Source organism: Homo sapiens, chromosome 4 (genome assembly GCF_000001405.40).
Source record: "Homo sapiens chromosome 4, GRCh38.p14 Primary Assembly".
In the NCBI taxonomy this organism is placed as follows: Eukaryota; Metazoa; Chordata; class Mammalia; order Primates; family Hominidae; genus Homo; species Homo sapiens.
In genome coordinates this window covers 77796926-77822797 of record NC_000004.12, presented here as the reverse complement: position 1 = coordinate 77822797, position 25872 = coordinate 77796926, and the positions used below count along the sequence as shown (strand labels likewise).

General features: G+C 39.5%; 1 protein-coding gene across 19 annotated transcripts in view, besides 6 other annotated features; it reads left to right on the top strand.

The window, feature by feature from the left end:
- Positions 891 to 940: an enhancer, noted in NCBI's record as "active region_21640". NCBI's record gives its function as "activates an Ori minimal core promoter by ATAC-STARR-seq in GM12878 lymphoblastoid cells {active_cell/tissue: GM12878}" and the evidence as "EXISTENCE:reporter gene assay evidence [ECO:0000049][PMID:35858748]".
- Positions 2384 to 2533: a silencer, noted in NCBI's record as "silent region_15510". NCBI's record gives its function as "represses an Ori minimal core promoter by ATAC-STARR-seq in GM12878 lymphoblastoid cells {active_cell/tissue: GM12878}" and the evidence as "EXISTENCE:reporter gene assay evidence [ECO:0000049][PMID:35858748]".
- CNOT6L (CCR4-NOT transcription complex subunit 6 like) overlaps positions 2529 to 25872 on the top strand; it is a 106883-nt gene continuing 83539 nt past the window's right edge. For 3 of the 19 annotated variants that reach the window (NM_001387839.1, NM_001387836.1, NM_001365006.1), the window contains exon 1: positions 2529 to 3208. Coding sequence is in view for 9 of the 19 variants with exons in the window: in NM_001387842.1 (NP_001374771.1) it covers positions 3490 to 3494; positions 21499 to 21681 (188 nt within the window). In the remaining 10 variants the exon portion in view is untranslated. Of the gene's footprint in view, positions 3209 to 3429; positions 3566 to 3774; positions 3825 to 4463; positions 21682 to 25872 lie in introns of those variants that run through there. The other 16 variants (NM_001286790.2, NM_001387841.1, XM_011531808.3 and 13 more) reach the window with 10 other exon arrangements.
- Positions 2794 to 2953: a silencer, noted in NCBI's record as "silent region_15509". NCBI's record gives its function as "represses an Ori minimal core promoter by ATAC-STARR-seq in GM12878 lymphoblastoid cells {active_cell/tissue: GM12878}" and the evidence as "EXISTENCE:reporter gene assay evidence [ECO:0000049][PMID:35858748]".
- Positions 2994 to 3093: a silencer, noted in NCBI's record as "silent region_15508". NCBI's record gives its function as "represses an Ori minimal core promoter by ATAC-STARR-seq in GM12878 lymphoblastoid cells {active_cell/tissue: GM12878}" and the evidence as "EXISTENCE:reporter gene assay evidence [ECO:0000049][PMID:35858748]".
- Positions 3584 to 3653: a silencer, noted in NCBI's record as "silent region_15507". NCBI's record gives its function as "represses an Ori minimal core promoter by ATAC-STARR-seq in GM12878 lymphoblastoid cells {active_cell/tissue: GM12878}" and the evidence as "EXISTENCE:reporter gene assay evidence [ECO:0000049][PMID:35858748]".
- Positions 3734 to 4133: a silencer, noted in NCBI's record as "silent region_15506". NCBI's record gives its function as "represses an Ori minimal core promoter by ATAC-STARR-seq in GM12878 lymphoblastoid cells {active_cell/tissue: GM12878}" and the evidence as "EXISTENCE:reporter gene assay evidence [ECO:0000049][PMID:35858748]".

The following is a 25872-nucleotide window of genomic DNA, read 5'->3' as shown; positions in this document are numbered from 1 at the left end:
AGTGCAATGGCTAGATCTCGGCTCACTGCAAACTCTGCCTCCCAGGTTCAAGTGATTCTCCTGCCTCAGGCTCCTGAGTAGCTAGGATTACAGGCGTGTGCCACCACACCCAACTGATTTTGTATTTTTAGCAGAGATGGGGTTTCACCATGTTGGTCAGGCTGGTCTCAAACTCCCGACCTCAGGTGATCCACCACCCGCCTGGGCCTCTCAAAGTGCTGGGATTACAGGCCTGAGCCACTGCGCCTGGCCTGTTTGTTTTTTAATCTCACTGAAGACAATTTCTTGGCATTTGTATAGTGCCAACTATCTGAAAACTATTATTTCTCCAATGTCATTCTAATTGCAAATGAGAAAAACAGCAATCTATTTTTTGGATAATATAGTTAACATATAAAAGTATTGCTTTCCTTTTGTTTTTAGTGAGTCAATCAATTTGATATGGTATAAAGAGGACATCTTTGAGAGTAAATTCTAAACTTAACCTGCATTAAAATAAATGATCCTATGACAACATCCACTGTCCACTATTAACTCTGAAAGTTACAATTACCCCTCCCCACCATGGATTGTGATGCATTTACTACTTAAAATTTAGAGGCCAACAAAGAACATCCCATATATAAAGTTGACCTTCAGGACCACCAAAGTCCACCATTTATTAGTGCTTCTTTAACATCCACAATGGCCCTGTCATTTTTCCCCACCTGTCACTACTGCTAGGCAGCCTGTGAGAGTGGGCAGATGTCAAATGGCTCACGTGTAAATGCCAGTGCTGTCAGCCCATCCTCCTAGACATTGTTGTGACTATTAATTTTGTGTCACCTCTCATACTTTCATTTCTGGTTTGTTCTGTGAGAATTTCCTGTTTATGTGTCAGCTTCCCCTACAATGATAGTGAGTTACTTAAGAAAAGGGACTATATATGCTTGGCTGTGTGTCTCCAATGCTAAACATAGCATCTGGAACATAATATGCCCTCCATATGTGTTTATTGTATATGAATGAAAATTCATTGAATACTCACAGAAAATTCATATAAATTTATTGTTATTTAAAGATGCTTAAATCTGTGAGGCTATCACATTATCTGATTTACATTTTTTCAGGTATTTATTTTCCTCTTTCCTTCTATAATTGGTGGTATTTCTCCCTGGGAGAGTGTTTGTGTGCTACGGAGAAATACTGTGGCAAGATGCCATTGAGGCAGGTCCACTATTTGGACTCCTGAAGTGACTTGCTTGGCTTTGCTGCTTACAAAGCCAAAGATAATTATTCATTTTATGTCAGCCTAGACTCTTAGATAGTTGGGAAAGAGTGAGACTTCTTCCAGGCTTAAGGCCATTTTGACATGTTTCACAGAAGATGGTGTGGGGCTGGTGTTGCTAGGGAGGGAAATGGAAAATTAACATAGGTAGAAAAGAAAATAGTCTGTCGTCTTGTGAACTGAGGGGCTTTTTTACTCACTCATTCACCCATCCTGGTGCCAAGATGAAAGTGGTGCAATAGTTCTGCAATTATGGACTCTTGTAACAGCTGTTCAGTTTTAGCTAAATGATGATTTGCATTTTCACCGCACCTTTTCCCCCAAGAGATGAAGGCATTTTACATTCAGTAATAAGGCCTAAGATGAATTGCAACCAACGCAACGTGCTTAGTGTGCTAAACACTCCTGTGGGGGAAAAAATACTGAACATTGCTAATATACCCTTGACCAACACTGGTAAATACACGAGCCCGGGCATGCATTGAGAAAGAGATTAAAATTGTGCAAAACTGCAACAGCAGTACTCTGCCTCCACAGCCGGTGTAATTTGCTTTTTGGACTGCTGGCCCAAAAAAGCTGAAGCTGGCCCACAAAAACAAAAACAAACCCCAGAAACTTAAAGTATCACAGCCAGGTTCACCAAGTAAACACTACTATTTCTAGTTTGCATTTGGATGTTTTCATTCTGTAGATGGCATGGATAAGCTACAAACAACAAACTAAAGTCTACAACGAGAAGGGAGAATTAGAAAATAGGACCGGGTTATCGCTGAGCGTCACAGGTTCTTTTATTTACCTTTGACGATACAACTTACAGATGCTATATGTTTTTAAAAAAAATCCACCGAATATGTCAGGAAACATTTCCTTCGGTCACTTCACCTCCCCTGGCGTCTCAGCCACCTAGACCTACGCTCTGCTTCGCTGTCAGGTCGCCTCGGGCGAGGAGGGTGCAGTAAACAGCGCCCACACAAGAACCCGGGGTGAGGCGGTTTCCCGTCTCTTCGCCAAGGCTCTGTGGATGTGGGTTTCTGAAACTCTACCACTCTTCTCAGCCCCGCTCCTCGCTCAGGCCAGGAAAAAAGAGTGAGAAAACAGCCAGAGCAAAACAGAAAACCATTAAGAAGCCCGGGCCTCCGCGCGCTCACCGCGACAAAACGCGGCGCACGGGGGGCGGGGCCAAGGCGCTGCGTAGGAGCTCCGCCCCGTCACCGCCCCGCCTCCTTCCCCTCACCCCAACCCTCCGCGCCGGGGAGTGACTGACTCCCGCCAGCCCCTCCACGTCAATCAACCCTCCTCGTTCTCGCACTCTCTGCACCTTGTTATTAATCTCAATACCGATATCGCCCGGACGCCTCTCCCCCGGCCCTCGGGGGTGTGAACGTGTGTGAGCGGGAGCGAAGGCACCGAAAGCTGGCGTCTCTGTTCAACCTCGGCCCCAGCAGCACCCGGCGCAGCGGCAACCCCCGCAGCGGCGGCAGCCCCAGCACCAGGAGGCCAAGGCCAAGGCCAGGCTCTGCGTGGCTCTCGGAGCAGTAGCCGCGGCTCCGGCCCTGCGGGGGCGCAGCTTCCTTCGGCTGGGGCCTTCGCGCCGGCGGCCGCGGCCGCGGGGCCTCTCTTGCGCGCCTGGGGTCACTGTCCTCGAAGCCCGGCGGCGCGGCCCTCGTCCCCCTTCCCGACCCCCGGTCTGTCTCCTCGCTCCCTTCAGCCGCCTTCCGCGCCGCCGCCTCTGCCGTTCGTCAGGCGGCCCGGCCCGGCCCGCCCGCCCCGCATCCCCTCCGGCCGGTGCCTCTCCCCTCCGGCGGGCTGCCTGCATGTCTTTGCTGCCCTCAGCCCCGCCGCCACCGCCGCCGCCGCCTCCCCCGCCGCCGCAGCACCAGCACCAGCCGCCCCGTCGCCGCCGCCGCCGCCGCCGCCCGGACCCCGGCGCGCTGAATGCAGGTGAGGAGGGGGCGCGGGCCCCCCGAGACCCCGGGCCCGGGTTCCCTGCGCGCCCGCCCGCGAGCCCCGGTTACGGGCCCTGTGTGCCGCCGCGGCTTCCCCTCGGGGCGGGCGGGAGCGAGGCCCGCCGTGGGTGTTTGTGTTTGCGTCTGCGTCTGCGGCCGCGGCTCTGGAGGGGAAGCATCTGTGGGGGCCTGGTGCGCGCGCGCGCGCGTGTTTGTGTGTGTGTTTCCCCTGCCGCGGGGAAATGGCTGCTGTTGCTTCTGGGCCAGAGGAAGAGAATGAGGTAGAGTGTTCTTTTGCCTCCGAGTAGGACCGAGAGTGTTGGGAAGAGGAGCGCGTCCCCGGGGAAATGAGGTGGGAGAGGGACAAATGTGCGTGTGGGTGTGCGAGTTGGGACTTTGGCGGGCGGGGAGGCGGCCCGAGGACCCACGGCGAGTGGGTGTGTGTCGGGTGACTGGAGGGGGCGGCGGGGCTGACCCGCGTCTCTTCAGAGGCGGGCGAAGGTTCCGGGGTGTGTGTGTGTGTGTGTGTGTGTGTCGGGGGTGGCCCGGGGCCGGGACCCCAGAGTGGCGTGTCCCTCCCGCTTTGTGGCTGCGGCTCCCGAGCCTCGCAGGTGAGAGCTGCTCCTAGGGGGCCGGCCGGGGAGGGCTGAGTGAGTGCGGCACACGCGCGGCAGCGGGGCTGGGAGAGCTGCTGGTCGGTGCCGCGCCGCTGATCCCGGGGCCGCCGTTCCCCGGCCGCGGCAGGAAGCGCGCCGGCCTGCAGCGCGGCCTAACTGCCTGGGCGCCCGCCCACCTCCCCGGACGCCTCCCGGGACGGCGAGCCCGCGCGAGCCCACGGCGCTGCCTCGGGCCTGGGCAGGTGAGGGTCGGAGGCGGGACTCGCCGATTGCCGTCGCCGTGGCCGCCTCCGCGTCTCCTGAGAGGCGAAGGCTTATTTTGGCGTTCCAACTGCAAGCCTTCGCCCGGCCGGCTGTGGGACCCGAGGGAGGAAAGTGAATCAGAACAGTCAGTCTTGGGAATACGCGGTGTCGTGTTCCCTTCTTTTCATCCTTCCCCTAAGGCTGTGTGGAGGGACTGAGTAAATATTTTGGATTTTTGTTGCAAATACTTTGCCGTTGGTAAGATTTTTTTTTTTTTAATTAGACAAACATTTTCTTGGAAGGGCTGAGGAAGAAAGGGAAACTGGCTTTCCTGGCCTGTGGGATTGGATGGATTTTGTGCATTTGAAATTGTTTTATCCTGCCTCCTAGGGGGAGAGGCGTGTACGCGCCGCCGAGCTGAGGAGCTGGGTGAGGAAGAGGAAGTTACTGGAGCTGTCATCCTGCTTAACTCGGTCGGCTATTGAGCTTAGACTGTTTAGGTGGATTGTGTTCAGGGAGTTTAGCTGAGCCGTTTGTACACATTGGAAGCACAGTGTTACATTTTACCGTATTGCCTCTAGTTATCTTGTCAATCAAGATAGGCTCAACAAACATGTTTTCCTCAGTCTCCAAAAACTAGATCAAGCAACCTCTGTTGTCTACTCAGTATGTGCTGCTGGAAAGCTATTTTGAGAATAGCCTAAGCAAAACCCAGTTGTAAAGATAAACCTGCTGCCAATAGGTCTACAGTACATTTCAGAACCAAATACAAATGGCATTTGGATAATTATTTGCTAATGTGCTTTTCTACTCCAACCTCATTACATTTGTATGTAGTTAGATCATTTAGCTAGAACCGTGCTGTGGATAAAAGCATAATACAGTTTCGATCCTTGTAGGCCGTACTCTGTGTCATGGCCAGAGATTGCTCTTTGCACCTGGTCTCACAAAGAAATAGTGTATGCTGTTCACGGGGAAGTGGAGGGAAGAGAAGGAGGGGCGAAGAGCTGTTCTCTATTACCACTACTGGAAAAACAATTTAACATACGTAGTTAGTGGGAAAAGGACTTGTTTTACAGACTTCAGTTAGCCTCCCAGCTGTGTGATTTTTCCTTAGCTGTTTGACCTTAGGTAACATATCTATAAGCCACAGTTTTATCAGTCACAGAGAGCTAATACCTTTATAGTAAGGTCGTTTTGAGAATAGAATGAGAAAACATATGTTTGGCATGTAGTAGATGCTTAGTTAAATTTTAGTTCTGCCTCCTGCAGCCCTGACTATGGGCATTGAAGAACCTTTGCAAACACAAATATGATTAATTATTTAGAGCAATATTAAGTAACTATAACGTAAAAAAGACAATGGAATCTTTCAGAGCCCTTCAGTATACAAAAGGTATATATATAAACTTTAATGTATATAAGAAGTTTTTTTCTAATAATAAAAATAGTCATTAAAATAGCCTAGTTATTTATAAAAATAGTCATACTTAATTTTTTTTTCATATTTTCAAATAGACCATCTCTCAGTTTCATTATTCTTTATGATTTTCGTTTTGTAGCCCTGGAAAAAAATTTTCAACCTCTATATAGCACATGTATGTTTCAATACAGTTAAACATTAAAAAGGATCAAGGAACCAAAATTTAGATAGATCCCCAAAGTTTAAATGCTACGAAAAATGCTAGCTCATGTTGACTGATTTGGTAAATAAAACTTCTTAGAATATTTCTCTGAATATAAGGTAAAATCCTCTGTCCACTTAATTTTCAATAACTTTCCATTTTTAGTATTTTCTCTGGAGTAGGAAATGTGTTCATTAAATTTTAACTGCTGTGTGGAAAAAATAATGTCATGGAGAGGTATGGAATTTAAGGTAAAGATAACAGAAAAGTTAACATAAAGATTGTTTTCTTTTTGTTTTGGGAAAAGACAGGACAGAGAATGTGGGAGTTTGATTGGTTTAAGTTTGTCATGGCCCTATTTACAAATGCCGGGTTTCCCAGTAGGGCTTACGTAATTTATTTGTATCAATAATGATAAGCTTTAAAAAATATTATTTTCTAAAATTCAAACTAAAATTTCAACACATTCAGTATAGCTTTTATGCATATTTTTATATAAAAATTTCTGTGAAGGTAAGAGTCACAGGATGGGGAGGGGGAAGCTCTCATCATTGAGGGGCTTGAATTTTTATAAATAACTAGGGGCAACTATTAGAATGCAAATTGTGATTTTCTTAAAGTGTGTGTTGTGGGAGTGTGTATTTACATTGAACAGAATCTTCTGCCATGTGGTTATATTTAAAGGAATAATTCTTACCTTAAAACTATAAATGATACTTTTTAATACCTTAGAAACAAAGAAATAGAAATGAATCTGCTCTTATTTAGTATTTGGTAAAGTAATTTTCATTGGACTTTATGAATTATTTTAAAAGACTTTATATATATATTTTTTAATTTGGGAGAATTGGGAAGAACATTTCCCTGTAGTAATCATGAAAACAGATGATATTGAACTATAAAGATATTTGGATATGAAGTGGAAGTACTAAGGTTATTATTTAGACTAAAGGAATTATGTTACAACAAAATCAAGGTGGAAACTTGTTTAGATTTTAAAAGTTAATGTTACTTAAATGGGCTTTTAAGCAATCTTTCCAAAATATCTGTTATTAATGTCTTTAATTTGGGAGAATTGGAATACTTAGGAATTTCTGTATGTATTACTTTGGGTAATGCTAATCAGAGTAATAAATACATTCCAAAATTTCAAAGAAGTTTACTTGCTTTCATGACAGTTCCAGTGCAGATGTTTACTTGCTTTCATGACAGTTTACTTGCTTTCATGACAGTTCCAGTGCAGGTGCTCCTGGTTAGCAGGTTTCTTGTGGCTTTCCTCTTATGTTGTTTAGGGACTCATACAACTTAGATCTTGTGACTCCACCATTTCTTAGGGCCTTGGAGTCCTCCCTATTGCCTGAAGACCATTTCTTAAGAAACTCCAGACTTAAATGACAAACATTCCTCCAAATTTTATTGGCAAGATTTGTCACAGAGTCTTATTTGAATGCAAGGGGAGTGGGAAATGTCCCTGGCAGGTGGAAAGCTTGGCCATCTCTGCTACAAGGGGCATTTCATGGTGTTATTTTAGATGTTAGCATATATTTATGAAATTACATCCAAAAGGTGAATTATGATAGTTAGGAATTGCTTTCCATCTTCAAAGAGTAAAATTGGGTGTGAGTGGAGAGTGGTGGGGAGAGGAGAAAGGAGGGAAGAGTCACAGGAGTGGGAGGGGGAAGCTCTCATCACTGAGGGGCTTAAATGACAAGTGAGTTTCTGTAACTATTTAAAGATATAAATTTTTCAGAGAACATTACAGTTGGATTCTGTAACCTTTAGTGGGTCTCTCCTGTAGTATCCAGTTATTGATTGTCATTGTGCTTTAATGAGTTCTGGCAGTTTGAGTTATTTCTCTTTGTATTTTGAAATCAGTTCAGATCAGTAGGACAAAACTCTGAATTTCAGTTTCTGGGTATAGTTTCATAGGAAACACATTTTTTGAATTTTCTTCCTCTGTTATTGGGATAGGTGATGAAGATTACTTTATACTTTGAGGGAAATCTCATTTAGGTGGACCTTACCATATTCTCTTGTTTGTTGCTGCAGTTTTTATAATTCTAAAGTTATTAAAATTAATACATGTGAGCCTTAACCCAGAAAGACCAATAAAATCATCAAGTAAACAACAGAGGCTTAATTATTAATTTGTGCTCATGCTTTGTGATGAAAATACTACAACTTTCTTTTACTAACTGCACTGACACTGGACCTCTAATACAGTAAATGGTATTTTATCACTGGACAACTTTAATTGAATCACAATTTATTCTATGATTGTGCAGGTTTATTATAATGTGAAACTTCAGCTCTGTGTCACCTTTACTTATTTTTTATTCTAAGAGTTTGGTTAGGGATCTCTGGGGAGTTATATATAATCTCTTTATTTCCCAAAGGGAAGATTTTGGAATAGTCTGGTTAACTTCTCCATGGTAAATACTTCTCTAACATCTTGCATCTTGAAAATTGAAAACCTAATCTGAGGACCCACTGTGCACCTATTATTGTACCCAGTTCTAAAGAGAAGTATGAAAGATGTAGAGGCTTATAGTTTGTGAGTAAGGGAAATAAAGCATGTAATTTAGTTATTTCAAAACAAATGAACTAGTGCAAGTCAATATGATATAAACTGTTTATAGACATTCTGAGACATAAAATGGAATGTCAATTGGGTCAGGAATTACTTAAAGGGTTGCTTTTTTTTGGACAACTTTTATGAGGTATAATTTAGATACCTTAGAAGTATCCATTTAAATTGTACAACTCAGTAGTTTTTAGTATATTAACAATTGTGCAACCATCACCATAGTTAATTTTAGAACATTTTCATTACCTAAAATATAAATCCTGTATCTTTCAAGAGTCACCCTTCATTCTCTTATGCCCCTAGTTCTAGGCAATTACTACTTCCTTTCTCTATAGATTTGGCCAATTTTGGACATTTTGTACAAATGCAATCTTAATATATGGTCGTTTATGATAAGCATATTTCACTTACCGTGTTTTCACGGTTCATCCGTGTCATAGCAAGTATTTCATTCTTGTAATGGCTGAATAGTATGTCAGCATAAGAATACACCACATTTATCTTATTCATGAGCTGATGGACATAGACTTTTTGGCTATCATTATAAATCATGCCGCTGTGAACATTCATGTACAAGTTCTTATGTATGTATGTTTTGAATTCTTTTGGGTGTGTACCTAAGAGTGGAATTGCTGGAACATATACCACTTTGTGTTTAAACTTTTGAGGAACTTCTAGACTGCTTTCCAAAGCAGTCGCAGTATTTTACATTTCCATCAGCAGTGTATGAGAGCTCTAATTTATCCACTTCATGCCAACAATTGTTATTATCTCCTTTTTTCATCATAGTTCTTCTAGCAGGTGTGATTTGATCCTGGTTTTGATTTGCATTTCCCTGATGGCTAATGATGCTTTTTATGTGCTGTTGGACATTTGTATATCCTCTTTGGAGAGAAGTGTGTGAAAAGACTCAAATTCTTTGCCCATTTTTATAATGAGTTTTTTAATTATTGAGTTGTAAGAGTCTTTTTTATACTCTAGATGTGTCCCTTATATATGATTTGCAAATATTTTCCTCCATTTTGTGAGTTGTCTTTTCATTTTCCTGATGGTGTCATTTGAGGCACAAACGTTTTTAGCTTGATGAAGTGAAATTCTTGTTATTATTTTTGCTGTGCTTTTGGTGTCGTATCTAAGAAATAATGACTTCTTGTTTCTAATCTAGCTAATCTATCTAATATATCTATTTCTAATCTATATCTAATCTATTTCTAATCTATCTAATATATCTAATCTAAGGCCACAGATATTTACTTCCCTGTTTTGTCCTGAGAGTTTTATAGCCTTAACTCTTACATTTAGATCTTTGATCCATTTTGAATTAATTTCTGTACATGGTCTGTTGTAGAAGTCTAATATCTCTTTGCCTGTGGGTACTTAGTTGCCCCAGTACCATTTATTGAAAAGACTGTTCTTTCTCCATTGAATTGTATCATCACCCCTGTCCAAAATTAATTAACTGTAAGTGTGGAGGATTTATTTCTGGACTTTTAATTCTATTTCATTGATTTATATGTTTATCCTTATACTAGTATGGTCTTGACTACTGTAGCTTTGTAATTGAGAGGTCTGAGTCCTCAAACCTCTCAAAGTTTTTCCTTTTGAGAAGAAAAAATGAAAAACTCTTTTTTTCTTTTTCAAGATTGTTTTGGCTATTTGAATCTCTTGTGTTTCCATATCAATTTTAGGATCAGCTTGTCAGTTTCTGCAAAGAAGTCAGCTGGAATTTTGATGGGGATTGTGTTAAATCTGTACATCAATTTTGGGACCATTGCCATCTGAATATTAGGGCTTCCTGTCCATGAACATGGGATGTTTTTCTATTTATTTAGATCGTCTTTAAGTGTCAACAGTGTTTCATAGTTTTCAGAATATAAGTTTCATACTTCTGTTGCTGCATTTCTTCCCAAGTATTTTATTCTTCCAGATGATATTGTAAATGGAATTAAAAAAAATTTGGGGGGTTTTTGCATGACAAGTGCATAAAAATACACTTGATTTATGTTTGTTGATCTCGTATCCTCCAACCTTGCTGAATTTCTTAGTTCTAATAGTTTTTTTTTTCTTTTTTTTTTGAGATGGAGTCTCACTCTGTCGCCCAGGCTGGAGTGCAATGGCACTGTCTTGGCTCACTACAACCTCTGCCTCCTGGGTTCAAGTGATTCTCCAGCCTCAGCTTCCTGAGCAGCTGGGATTACAGGTGCCTGCCACCATGCCTGGCTAATTTCTGTATTTTTAGTAGAGATGGGGTTTCACTGTGTTGGCCAGGCTGGTCTTGCCGACCTCGTGATCCACCTGCCTCAGCCTCCCAAAGTGCAGGGATTACAGGTGTGAGTCACTGCACCCGGCCAGTTCTAATAGTTTTTAAGTGGATTCCATAAGATTTTCTACATACAAATATCATGTCACCTGCAAACAAATGAAGTTTCAATTCTGCTTTTCCAATATGGATGCATTTTAGTTCCTTTTCTTGCTTAATTGCCCTGGATAGAACCTCCAGAACATTACTGAAAAGAAATGTCAAGAGAAGTCACTTGAGTTGCAGCAATCCTTGTCTTGTTCCCAGTCTTAGGGGGAAAACATTCCATCTTCTGCCATTAAGTAGATGTTAGCTGTGATTTTTTTTTTTTTTTTTTTTAAACTGCTCCTTGCGGAGAAAGGCTAGCCCATAGGCAGGCAGTGTGCGGAAAGTAGTGAGCTATAAGTTTTTCATTAATAGCCTTTATCAGGTTGAGGAAGTTCATTTCCTAGATTGTTGAGTGTTTGTTTGTGTGAGTGTGTGTGTTTGTGAGAGAGTGTTAGGATTGAGTTTTGAGAGAATTGTGAAATGTGGATTAGAAAAATAAAGATGCTATGTCAGGTAATAAGGGGCAGATAATAATGCTTATCTTGCTGGAGGAAGAGGGGCTAGATTTTCCTCTTTTTCCCTCTCCCTTTCTTCCCCATTCCTTTCTTGTTTTTGTTTTGAGACGGAGTCTTGCTCTATCGCCCAGTCTGGAGTGCAGTGGCCTGATCTCAGCTCACTGCAACCTCCGCCTCCCAGGTTCAAGTGATTCTCCTGCCTCAGCCTCTTGAGAAGCTGGGACTACAGGCTAATTTTTGTACTTTTAGTAGAGACGGGATTTTGTACTTTTAGTAGAGATCACTATGTTGGCCAGGCTGGTCTCGAACTCCTGACCTTGTGATCTGCCCGCCTCAGCTGCCCAAAGTGCTGGGATTACAGGTGTGAGCCACCGCGCCCGACCCTTTCTTGATCTTTAATCATCTTCCCATCAGTCCACATGCACATTTGGAGAGCACTTAATCTTTTACTGATCTGTATAATTAAGATTTTTTGAGCAGTGGAAGTATCCTTTCTTTTGAAAAATACTAAAAATTGTGTGGAGAATTTCTTACTGAATAGCTTGATAGCTAGGTTTGGAGGGCATCAGAGAAGATACTAAATCATAAATGAAGTGCCAACCATGGACTTACAAAGAAGTGAACACAGTGGAATACTTCAGCCATAAAGAATGAAATCCGTCTTCAAAAAGAATGGAATCCTGTCATTCTTGGCAACTTGGATGGAACTAGAGGACACTGTGTTAAGTGGAATAAGCCAGGAACAGAAAGGTAAAACACCACGTATTCTCACTTCTAGGTGGAAGCCAAAAAAAGTCGATCTCTTAGAAGTAAAAAGTAGAAAAGAGGATTCTAGAGGCTGGAAAGGGTAGGGGGAAGAGGGCTAGGGAGAGAGATTGTTAAAGGGTACAAAATTATAGCTAGATGGGGGAGTAAGTTCTAGTGTTCTGTAGCACTGTAGGATGACTATAGTTAACAATATTATTATGTAGTTTCAAATAGCTAGGAGGAAAATATTGAATGTTCCAAATGCAAAGAAATGATACATGTTTGAGATGATGGATATGCTGATTACCTTGATCTGATCGCTACACATTGTATGTATGGAAACATCACTGTGTATCCCATATATATATACAATTATGTGCCAATTAAAAAATTTAAAAAGTAAGCAAACCTTTGCCATATTGGGGGTATGGTTAATAAAAAATTTTATGTTTAGTTTAATGTACTTTGAATCTAGCTGTCAGCTGACATTCTCCCACCCTAAACATTTCAGCATCAATGGCTTTGTTTTTACAAGTTTTCTTTATAATTTTCTAAAAAATTTAACAAATTTCATATGAAACTTTGCTCAGTAAGGTAAAGTTGTGTTTCACTTTGATGTGGTGATTACCCTTTGTTTACTTTTTGAAATTTTAATTGTGTTCCCATGCATCCACATTCTGATCAGATAAATATTTTTAAAAATTTTTATTTTTGTCTTTCATGTATAGTTCTCAGAAGTTAAGATAACTTTGAGTTTAGCTAAGAATATTCCTGTTAACAGGTGAAATTGGAAAGTGGTAATAGAATTTTTGTTTTGTAACAGGTTTATTAGTTTTCATTATTTTTAGTCCGCTTTAAAATTTTGATACAGATACAATTTATTATTATTTTTAAAGAAATAAGTAGTCTAATAAATAAGACAAATGAGAAACTCGTCATTTGTACTGAATAGATGCCTGGTAATTTGGGGCTTTCAAATATTGTTTTCATTTATTAACAATTGAAATTGGTGACACAAAATAGAGATTAAAACACTTTATGTTCCTTATATTCATCTTTTGCAGAGAGAACCTCCCTCTCTAATCTTAAAGTTTAAACTCTATTTTTCTCTTTCCCATATTACTTAAATAGATTTCCTAAATGAGTAACATAAATTAGAGTTACATAATACCAGCTACAAATACTGCTAAAAGAATAGAACTAAATTTAGTATATCCCAACCTTAATGTCTCTCTATACAAAGACTTTGTTGGAATCTCATATATCCATTGCTTTCTGATCATAATGTTTATCATATTTAACAAAGCAAAACTCAGAAATTACTTAACAGGGTATATTCTTCTATAGGTTCATATTTAGTACAATCTTCTGCAATATCTACATATAATTTTATGAAACAACATAATGTGAGTTATATACAGAATGGTAGCCTTGAAACACTGTCAGAATTTGAATCACCAAAATATAACCTGTTAATTAATATTTATTAAGCTTCTATTTGTTATAGACTATTGTATTCAGGGTTCTGGGGAATAAAAAGAAATGTAGAATAATCTTTCTACCAGGGAATGGAGCTAATATTTTTTTGACTACTGAGTACCAAGGAATGTGAAAAGCCACTCCCCTCCTTCCCTTTAAATGTGTAATCTAAATTATTCTTCATGAAAATCCTATGAGAGAGGCAGTATGATTCTCATTCTGAAGCTGGTTAAGAAAGTGAGCCTTGGGTCCTCCACTTTCCAGCTCTACGGAAACTCATTTAACTTCTCTATGCTTCAGTTTTCTCATCTGTAATAGGGAGATAATATTCCTTATCTCGTAGAGTTTTGTGAGGATTAAATGATGTAGTCCTGTAAAGTATTTAGGACACTACCTGGCACATCTGTAGTAAAAAACCAAACTAAAAAACAATACACGTACACTATTACTGTTTCTTATTAGGAAAGAAGTTAATTAACGTGCCCAAGATTACAACCAGATCTATTTGAATTTAAAACACTCTTATACTATAATGCTTACATTTATAGGATGTTTAAGTCTGGATCTAGTAAACAGGTGAAGGCAGAATATGCTAAGTGACTAACATTAAGTGCTATGACATACAGAGTACATATGGATTTTAAACTACAGGGATAAGTAAGAGAGGAGATAGATGTTGCTCTTGCCTTTATGATGAGAAAAAAGGCAGGGAAAAAATTAATAGACTACTGTAATATCTTCCTTGCTAGTCTACAACTTCCATTATATCTCCTTTAACATCTTTTCCTTTGTACACATTGTCACCAGAGAAATCCTTGTAAAATTCATCCCACATTGCTTAAATTCTCTGCTTACAGTCCTTTAATAATAATAGTTACTGTTTTCTGGTTACCTACTGTGGGCTAGGATAGGAGACAGCAAGCTTCTCTTCTTTTCTCTTCTCTTTTTTTTTTTTTTTTTTTGAGATGGCAGAGTCCCACTCTCACCCAGGCTGGAGTGCAGTGGCACGATCTCAGCTCACTGCAACCTCCACCTCCCAGGTTCAAGCGATTCTCCTGCCTCAGCCTCCCGAGAAGCTGGGATTACAGGCGCACACCACCACACCCGGCTAATTTTTGTATTTTTAGTGGAGATGGGGTTTCACCACGTTGGCCAGGCTGGTCTCGAACTCCTGACCTCAAATGATCCACCTGCCTCAGCCTCCCAAAGTGTTGGGATTACAGGAATGAGCCACCTCGCCAGGCCTAGCAAGCTTTTTTCTATGAAGGGACAGATGTAAATATTTTGGCTTTTTGGGTCATGCAAGATCTCTGTTGCATATTCTTTTTTGCTGTAATTTTTTTGTTTTTTAACAATCCTTTAATTTTTGTTGTAATTCTTTTTTCACAATCCTTTAAAAATGTAAAAACCATTCTTTGCTGCCAAATCAGTCTGGATGCAGCTTATTGACTGACCCCTATGCAAGGAGATTTACGTGAACTAACTCATTTCTTCTTGTAACAATCCTGGTAAAGTTGATATTATTTCTACTTCACAGTTGAGGAAATTGAAGCTTAGAGAGGCAGATTTGATGAAGGTCAAGTAAGTGACAGATTGAGGCCATTGGAATACCTAAACCTGTGTACTTCCTAAGATATCTTGCTGCTTCCTATTACTTTTAAATAAGATGCAAATTTCTTAGCATTATGTGTAAGGCCCTTGATGATCTTGTCTTTGCTTACTTTTCTAGTTTTCGTATTTGTTACTACTCTCTCTCACATATTCCCTAGCCTAGCTGTAGTGAGTGACTTACAGCGTGGTCTGTGCTTTATATATGCCTACAATACCTTATACTTTATGACCTCATTGATTTCTTTAATAATCTGCCTCTGGTACTTCCTACTTTGGGAAACCTTACTTGGTACTTGTAGTCCTTGCTTTATGAACTTTTTCTGTGCTCCTCTAGCATTCTGTGCATTCTTCATTCATAACACTTACTACATTGCCTTGTGTTTAACTTGGGTTTATGTCTCCGTTTTGCGTTAGACTGTGAGTTTTTTTTTTAAGAGATGGAGATTTTGCTATGTTGCCCGGGCTGACCTTGCATTCCTGAGCTCAACAGATCCTCTCCCTGTAGCCTTAGATTGTAGGATTTTTTTTTTTTTTTTTGAGATGGAGTCTCACTCTGTCGCCATGCTGGAATGCAGTGGCGCGATCTCGGCTCACTGCAACCTCTGACTCCCTGGTTCAAGCGATTCTCCTGCCTCAGCCTCCCGAGTAGCTGGGATTACAGGCACACACCACCATGCCCAGCTAACCAAGGCAGGCGGATCACCAGGTCAGGAGATCGAGACCATCCTGGCCAACATGGTGAAATCCCCTCTCTATTAAAAATACAAAAGATTGTGAGGTTTTTAAGGGCATAGATGATATATGCCTTACCTTTGTAGCTCAAGTGTTTGATACATAGTAGGGGCTTAATACAGAGTTTGGCATATAGTTGGGAATTTGAAAGTGTTTATTAAATGAATGAATAATTAAATGGCATTACAGACATGGAAATCATATCAGCAGATCTATAGTTGCAGAAAAATGAGTCCAGGTTCAGGGGTGGTGGTGAGTGGGAAAGTAAGTAAATTTCTGGTTAACTTCTAGGGCTCGAGTGGGAACATGAGGTTAATAAGGCAAATTGGAGAATGATCGTGGAGGGGCTTGAATATCTTGGTAAGGAATTTTAATTTTGTTCTGGAGTCATTGATACAAAGCTTTCAACTCTAGAGCAGCAGGTGTTTTTTAAATCCATAACTTGGGTTCTCTTAATACACAAATTGTATGTTGTAATATTGCTTTAGGTATTTTATAGAACATTCATTACCTAAACAATTGTTTTGATTAATAGATACTGCAAGATGTAGCTCTAGAATATCATAATTATCAGTACTACTATTAAAGACATTGGGAACCATGGAATGATTTTGAACAGGTTGGTGGCAGTTTGAAATTAATCTTTTTTTTTTTTTGAGACAGAGTTTTGCTCTTGTTGCCTAGGCTGGAGTGCAGTGGCACGATCTTGGTTCACTGCAACCTCCGCCTCCCAGGTTCAAGCGATTCTCCTGTCTCAGCCTCCTGAGTACCTGGGATTACAGGCATGCGCCACCACGCCCGGCTAATTTTGTATTTTTAGTAGAGATGGGGTTTCTCCATGTTGGTCAGGCTGGTCTCGAACTCCCAATCTCAGGTGATCCGCCGGCCTCAGCCTCCCAAAGTGCTGGGATTATAGGCGTGAGTCACTGTGCCCGGCCTGAAGTTAATTTTTTAAGATTAATCTAGTTGAGGTATTCACCATCAGTTGAGGAGATGGGACTGGGAAGAAGGAGGCCTTTTAAAAAAAGTTAAAATATAAAGTGATAAGTCAATGATTGACTATGAGGAAGTCAGAGACGAATGAGAAAAACGGAAGAGGCAGGTCAAGGAAGGAAATTGTGTATTTTATGTTGGTTAAATTGATTACTGTGAATTCTATTGGAGTGATTTCTATCGTTGCCTGAATTTGGGCTCTGCTTACTTTATGCTTGAATAATTAGAATACTCTTATGATTGGTTTCCCTTCCTGTTGCTAATTCATGGATTCTTAATCTTTGGTGCTGTGGACCTTTCTTCAGTCTGGAGAAGGCTGTGAATCCAATGTAGAATGACAATTTTAAATGAGTGAAATAAAGTAAATAGGACTTGAAAGGAACTTGTTATATTGAAATGCCAAAATATGATATAGTAATATATATGCTTCTCTACTAATACTGTTAAGTAACGTCTTGCAATGAGTCTAATAGCTACCATAATTTTGTAATACTGGTACATATAGATATTTTGAGATTTCTGTAACAACTATAATATGAAATGAAAATGTACTTCTGTTAGTGACAGAAATCACAGGTACTGCTAATACTATTATGGTTGATTGTTTAGGTTTGTGTGAAAATTTTAGAGATTAGTGAAAATGGTGATGTAATTTTTTTTCTATATAAATTCACAGGTTTCCTGAGATTTATGGAACCTAGGTTAATTACCTTTGCTTGTACTAGCTCCTGTTTTACTCTTCTTCTGTGTATTTTTGTCATAGTAATGTACTTTTCTTTGCAGATGGTAGTATTTTTATTGCATCATGTCTGTTTTGGGAAATAATATGTACTCTTTGTAAAAAAAAATTCAAATGGTAATAAAACGCATAATTTTCTGGTTATCCTGCTTCATGGCGATCAAGCTTGTTAGCAGTATAATATATACAGTAGTTTCTTGGTATAGAGAGGATTGGCTCCATGACCCTTGTGTATGCCTAAATCCATGCATACATACTCAGGTCCTGCCATGTATATGAAAAATTGGCCCTCTATATACATGGGTTTCTCATCTCACAAGTGCTATATTTTCCATCTGTGTTTGGTTAAAAAAAATCTCCACGAGTGAACCTGTGCAGTTCAAACCCATGTTGTTCAAGGCTAAGTGGTAGTACTGTTACCTGTTTCTGGTCAATATATACTTACATAACCACAAAAACATAACTAAAATAGGTTCATACTGTGTATACTTTTTTAAAAATTTGCTTTTTTTTCATTTGAAAACATCTTTTTTCATTAATAAATACACCTCATGCTTTAAAAAATTGTAGGATGAAAGTTGAGATATGTATTACATAACACAAACATTCACCATTTTAAAGTGTATATTTTAGTGGTTTTAGTACATTCAGTATGTTGCCAACCACCACTACAAGCAAATTCCAGAACATTTCCATCACCCACAAAAGAAACCTCATATTTTATGTCAGTTAGTTCCAGTTACCCCATCCATTGACAATTTCTGGTCTACTTTCTGTCTCTATGGATTTGCTTCTTCTAGTCATTTAATATAAGTAGAATCATATAATATGTGACTGTGTCTGCTTTTTTCACTTAGCATAATATTTTCAAGATTCATGTTGTAGCATATAACAGTATTTCATTCCTTTTTTTTTTTTTTTGAGATGGGGTCTTGCTGCATCACCCAGGCTGGAGTGCAGTGGCACGATACCGGTTCACCACAGCCTCCGCCTCCCAGGTTCAAGCAGTTCTCCTGCCTAAGCCTCCTGAGTAGCTGGGATTACAGGAGCCCACCACCACGCCTGGCTCATTTTTTGTATTTTTAGTAGAGACGGTGTTTCACCATGTTGGCCAGGCTGGTCTCAAACTCCTGACTTCAGGTGATCTGCCCACCTTGGCCTCCCAAAGTGCTGGGATTACAGGCATGAACCACTGTGCCCGGCCAATATTTCATTCCTTTTTATGAGTGAACAATATATTATTATACATACTTGGTTATTATAAATAATTCATGTATATGGTTTTGTGAAGACGTATGTTTTCATTTCTCTTGGGTGTATACCTAAGAGTGGAATTGCTGGGTCATACGTATTTCTGTGTTTTAACTTTTTGAGGAATTGACAAACTTTTCCACAGTAGCAGCGCTGTTTTACATTTCCACACCTCACGCTTTTTTCTTTTTTTTTTGAGACGGAATTTCGCTCTTGTTGACAGGCTGGAGTGCAATAGCATGATCTCGGCTCACTGCAGCCTTGGCCTCCCGGGTTCAAGCGATTCTCCTGCCTCAGCCTCCCGAGTAGCTGGGATTACTGGCATGTGCCACCACACCCGGCTAATTTTGTATTTTTGGTGGAGATGGGGTTTCTCCATGTTGGTCAGGCTGGTCTTGAACTGCCGTTCTCAGGTTATCTACCTGCCTCGGCCTCTCAAAGTGATGGGATTATAGGCATGAGCAACCGCACCTGCCCTACCTCCTGCTTTTTAATGGCTTCATTGTAATCCATTTTATTGATGTCCTGTCATTCAGTCCCCTGTTGATTGACAATTTATTTCTGTATTTTTGATGATTATCAACACTAATGCAGTGAAAAAACTTGTATAAACACCTTTTGCACACTTTTTTAAAGTATAAATTTTTAGGAAAGGAATTGCTGGATCAAAGTAATTACACATTTAATATTTGATACATCTTGTCAGATTGCCCTTTAGAAATGTTTTATAAAATTTTACTCCCAACAATTGTGTGATGTATGCTTATTTTCTCAAACTCATATTCACATAATTAATTTTTGTCATTTTAATAACAAAAAGTCATACATATTTTAAATTTTGGAATTTGTTAATTATAGTGGAGATAATTTTTTTTTTCACATTTTTTTTGGCCACTGCATTCTTTTGTGATTTGCCTGATCATGACCTTTACCCTAAATTTTTCTATTGGGTGTCTCTGTTTTTCTTATTACTTTGTTAATAGCTGTTTACATTTTAGAAACATTACCTTATTGCTCATTATCAATATTGCAGAGACTTTGTTCCAGTTTCTTGTTTGTTTTTTGACTTTGTTTATGACTTTGCTCTTTGCCTTATAGACATTAAATTTTTAAAATACTGTTTATCATTCCTTATAAAAGGTCTTTGCCTTGCTTAGAATAAGTTTTCTGCACCCCAAGATTATAAAATATTTTCTCCGCATTTTCTTCTGGGAATGTCTAAAATTTGGCATGATTTAGTAGAAGCTTGGTTTTTGTAGTTGGTCTTAACTATGTTCAGATTCCCGTCTAGCCACTTACTAGCTGTGAGGTGTTAGATGTCTGCACAACTTCTCTGTATCTCACCTTCCTCATCTGTAAAATGATAGTTGATAATTAGGGTCTATGCTTTTGGTTAAGTTAAATGCAATAATTCAAATTCTCTAGCATACCATCTGGCCACATACTGGGTGTTCAGTGCATGTTTTCTTTTCTCTCTCACCCATAAACTCCATCTTCTATCAGTCTAGTTAAAATCTGGTCCAGAAGATAAGGGAGGGGAAAGTTTCAAGAAATAATGTTGCCCTTAGTTTTCAAAGTCAGAGAAGCCATGTGGGATGAGTACTGTCTGAAAAGGAGATTGAAAATTCATTTAGTAATTAGGAAGTAATTTATGTTTAATGAAAACATTTTTTAGTAGCATGATAAGAGGCATATTTTAATACAAAGAAGACTAAAACCTATATAACATACCTAAAGGATATGTGCATATGCAACATGTATCCATCATGATTTGTAATATTTGGGAGAAATAGTTGTAACTCTACTCTTCTTATTGTTGGAATACTGGTAAGAGGATAGAGAATCAATGCTGACATACAGTATATTTATATTGTATGTATAAGGTGTACATAAATTTAGGTAATTTTTACTATTAATAGTTACAAATTACTGTATTTGTAACACACCTCACAATCATCAACCTGTATTAGAACTACTGCTCCATTGGAATCTTCTTAGTAGCATTATAATGGACTTTAATGGAATTTACACATATTCTTCACTAAATTAAAATTATGTATAAACTGTTATATTTCTTTTGGGGAAAGCAACTTTAAATACATTTTAGAAAGAAATGGGAAATAAATGTTTACAACATGGTAGTCATTGTTTACATTTTTCTCATCTTGTTTCCTGGACTATGAGGATTTTAGGACAGGGGGACATAGTTTTTGCTATATTGCCCAGGCTGGAATACAGTGGCTATTCACAGATGTGACCATAGTTTGCTATAGCCTCGGGCTCCTGACTTCAAGCAGTCCTCCTGCCTCAGCTTCTGAGTAGCTGGGACTACAGGCACATGCAAGGTGCATGGCTTATAATGGGTTTTTGATAAATATTTATAAAATGTTTCATTCTCCCCCCCCCCCAATTTTTATCTTCTGGTAAAATAACTTCAAAATAAAGGTTTTAAAATTTGTTAAGAAAAATAAATATTCCTCAAGTGGAGTAATAATAGACATGGATTCTGTGCAATTTGTTTTCAGAAAATTATATCAAACTGTATTCCTTGACTCTTAGTAACTGTCTAAAAATTTTTTTTGGTATGTTACATGTATACTGTCATTATTTTGTCAGCTTCAAAACAAGAAGGAAATTATTCTGTATTGGTTAGCTCAGGAGGAAGGTAATGAGTTTTAAGTAACAAAACAGGAAATTAGCTCCTCTGTGACCTTTGATGAGTTTGTGAAGCTGGCGTTGTGAGTGCAGGATTGAAATTGTGAAGAGCATTATATTTAGTTTGCTTTGTTGCTTTTGCAGAGTATCTATTTGCCAGGAAAACCTAGGAATTGAAGTTAAAGACTCTGCTACCTTTGTGGGAAATGAACAATACTCTTCCTTCTGCTGGCAAAATCTGGGTGTCTACTTTTCAGTGGCTGGTTTTTGCTTTCACGTAGGGTCAGAGTATCCTTTTCCTGGAACCAAGCTTGACTCAAAGCCATTGTAAGTTCTCTTGTTCTTTATCCTTCTAATCAACTATTTTAGGAGCAATTTTAAAGTTGACACCCTTTCCCTTCTAACCTTTCTGCTCAATACAAAGCACCACCTTCTTGGCAGTCATTTATATGAGTAGAGTGGATACTTTTGTAGGCATTTTATTCATGCCAAAAAGTTAAGGGTTAGCTCTTTGTTTAATGCTAGTTGTTTTGGATCAGTGTGAGTCAGCATTGGCCTTAACTTTCTTTTACATCCTTTTGTAATTAAGATGTTGGTACCTTGGAACCCTCTCCTGGATGGAGCTTTTCTTTATACTTTATCAAGTTTTATTTCAGACAGTTGGGCTACTAAGATTTTTCTGTTTTACTCTACTGTTTTTAATGGAGACTTGTAGATTTCAGATATGGCTTATACACATTCTAAACCCTGCTTCTCAGAATAGTCATACTAGTTTTAACACCTCTTTACACAACTTTTATGTTTATCTAACATTAAAATATTGTATAATTTGGTTCAGTTCAAAAGTATGGGATGGCTGTTACAGCTATTCAGACTTTCATATTGTTCAAAACTTTGTATACAAGACTTTATTTTTTTTAATTTTTTTTTTAAGAGACAGGGTCTTGCTTTGTCGCTCACAGGCTGGAGTGCAGTGGTGTAATTATAAGCTCATTGACCTCCTGGGCTCAAGTAATCCTCCTATCTAAGCCTCCCAAGAAGCTGGTGCTCACTCACAGTCACATGCTACTGTGCCTGGCTACTTTAAAAAAAAAAATTTTTTTTGGTAGAGTTAGGGTCTCACTATGTTGCCCAGGCTGGCCTTGAACGCCTGGGCTCAAGCAGTCCTCCCACCTTGGCCTCCGAAAGTGCTGGGATTATAGGTGTGAGCCATAATACCTGGCCTTTGTGTAAGACTTAATTTAAAATATTTTCCTGAAGAAATAGAAAAGCTAAAGTAATTAGCTTTATGAAAAGGATTCATTAGTTCAGTTTTTGATACTATCAAGTTCAGTTTTCTGGTAATTAAAACCAATTTCTTGAATTAGTTTTTTTTTTTGATGGAGTATAACATGCTTAGTTTTATGTACAGGTGATTGTTTATATAAACAGATATTAAATTTGTGAAAAAATACTCAATTCTTGGATTTGCCATGTACTACCAGAGAGGCAGAGCCCGAAATTGGAAGGTAGGAAAAGGAAAAAGATGAAGGATTTCATATGAAGTGTTAGAATGTTACTTCAGTTTTTTTCCACATTAAAACATGGACTAAATCTACTTTTTCTAGAGGATTTGTTACTTTGAATGAAAGAGCTCTCATACACTTGGCTTATAATAGATGATATGTGATCCTTTTACAGGTACCCTTGCAACTTCTTAGTTTGGGTCTGAACATGTTCCTTTTTTTTTTTTTTTTTTTGAGATGGAGTTTCACTCCCCTCACCTAGGCTGGAGTGCAATGGCACAATCTCAGCTCACTGCAACCTCTGCCTCCTGAGTTCAGGCAATTCTCCTGTCTCACCTCCTGAATAGCTGGGATTACAGGCGCCCACCACCACGCCCAGCTAATTTTTGTATTTTTAGTAGAAACGGGGTTTCACCATGTTGGCCAGGCTAGTCTCGAACTCTTGACCTCAGGTGATCCACCTGCCTCGGTCTCCGAAAGTGCTGGGATTACAGGCGTGAACCACCACACCCATCCTGAACATATTACTTTTGACCTTGTTTATACTAGCCTAGGCTGGAGTGCAGTGGCATTAGCGTGGTTCACTGCAGCCTCAACCTCCTGGGCTCAAGTGATCTTCCTGAGCAGTTGGGACTACAGGTGCGTGCCACCATTCCCAGCAAAGTTTGTTTTTTGTAGAAACAGGGACTTGATGTGTTGCCCAGGCTGGTCTTGAACTACTGGCCTGAAACAATCCTCTCACCTTGGCCTCCGAAAGTGTTGGGATTACAGTCATGAGCCACTGTGCCTGGCCTGTTCAACAGTTTCCAGTTTTGGGCTGTTATAAATAAAGCTCTAAGAACATTTGAGTTCAGTTTAATCTTTGGGTGAACAAATGTTTTCATTTATCTTGGGTAAATATCTAGGAGTGGAATGTCTGGGTCATATGGTAGCTGCATATTTAACTTTTTTTCTTTTTTTGAGATAGGGTCTTGCTCCTTCACTCAGGCTGGAATGCAGTTGTGTGATCATGGCACACTCTAGCCTTGACCTCCCAGGCTCAAGCAATCCTACCTCGGCTGCCTTAGTAGCTGGGATCACAGGTGCACACCACCATGCCTGGCTATTTTTTTTTTTTAATTGAAATGGGGTCTAACTATGTTGCCCAGGCTCATGTTGAACTCCTGGCTCAAGCAATCCTCCCACCTCGGCCTCCCAAAGTGTTGCAATTATACGTGTGAGCCACCGTGCCTGGCCTGTTTACCTTTTTAAGAAACCTTCAAACTTTCTCCCAAAGTTGTAGCATTTTGCATTCTCATCTTTAGTGTATGAAAGTTCCGGTTGTTTTCTTGGCTCGGTTTTTTAAAAACTTAGCCATTCTAATAGGCCAAAGTATAGAGTAGAATCTCATTGTGGTTTAATTTTCACTTCTCTAATGACTAAAGCATCTTATGTACTTTTTTACCATCAATATATCTTCTTTGGTGAAGTGTCTATTAAAATGTTTTGCCCATTAGAAATTTTTTTTATTACTGAATTTTGACAGTTCTTTATGTTGGATATACATTCTTTATCATATACATGATTTGTAAATATTTTTTCCCAGTGTGTGGGTTATTTTCTTTTTTTAAAAAAATTATTTATTTGTTTTAGAGACAAGATCTCAATCTGTTGTCAAGGCAGGAGTGCAATGGTACGATCATAGCTCACTGCAGCCTCTGGGCTCAAGCAGTCCTCCTGCCTCAGCCTCCTGAGTAACTAGGACTATAGGCTCCTGGCTGATTTTGTATTACTTTGTAAAGACGGGGTCTTGCTATATTTGCCCAGGCTGGTCTTGAACTCCTGGTCTCAAGTGCTTCTCCTTCCTTGGCCTCCCAAAATGTTGGGATTACAGACAGGAGCCACCATGCCTAGCCTATTTTCCTAATAATGTTTTTCAAGGAGCAAAAGTTCTTGAAAGTCTAATTTATCAATTTTTTGTTTTATGGATCATGCTTTTGTTTTGGTGTTGAAGATATCCTTGCGAAACTCATAGTCACCAAGGTTTTCTCCTGTGTTTTCTTCTAGATATTTTATAATTTTGGCTCTTAAATTTAGGCCTGTGATCCATGTTGAACATAGAGTAGTCCCACCCTTATTTGTGGAGGATATATATTCCAAGACCCTCAGTGGATGCCTAAAACTGCAGTTACCACATGAATTTCTGTTTCCTTCTTCACAATGTCATAGGTGGAAGATTAATTCTTACCATTGATTTTGGCAACCTCACTATACGATTTTTTTCTTCCCTTATTAAATTGAGAATTTTCACCATTTCACTTAAAAAGGAAGCCCCTTATGGTTTCTTTTTGGCATACCTGAATTTCCAGCATCACTACTCTTGTGCTTTGGGGCCATTATTAAGTAAAATAAGGGTTTCTTAAACACACTGTGAGACTGACAGTCTGATAACTGAGATAGATACTGATTGACTAATAGGCAGGTATACTAAACAGTGTGAATATGCTGGACAAAGGGATGAATCATGTCCAAGCAGGACTGAAAGAGACAGCAGGAGATTTCATCACACTACTCAGACTGGCACACAATTTAAAACTTGTGAATTGTTTATTTCTGGAATTTTCCATTTAATATCTTTTGACCCTGTTGGCTACAGGTTACAAACTGCAGTGAAACTGTAGATAAGGGACAGAGATGGGGGGCTACTGTGTTTTTGTTTTTTTTTTATATAGTATGAGGTAAAGTTTGAGGTTCGTTTGTTTAAAATATGGTAATCTAATTGCTCTACCACTATTAGTTAGAGATTATCCTCCCCAGTGAATATCCTTGGCAGTTTTTTTTTTTTTTTTTTTTTTTTGAGACAAGGTCTTCCTCTGTCAGGCTGGAGTGCAGTGGCACCATCACGGCTCACTGCAGCGGCACCATCATGGCTCACTGCAGCCTGGACCTCCCAGGCTCAAGTGATCCTCTCATCCCAGCCTCCCAAGTAGTTAAGACCACAGGGACACCACCATGCCCAGCTAATTTTTTTGTA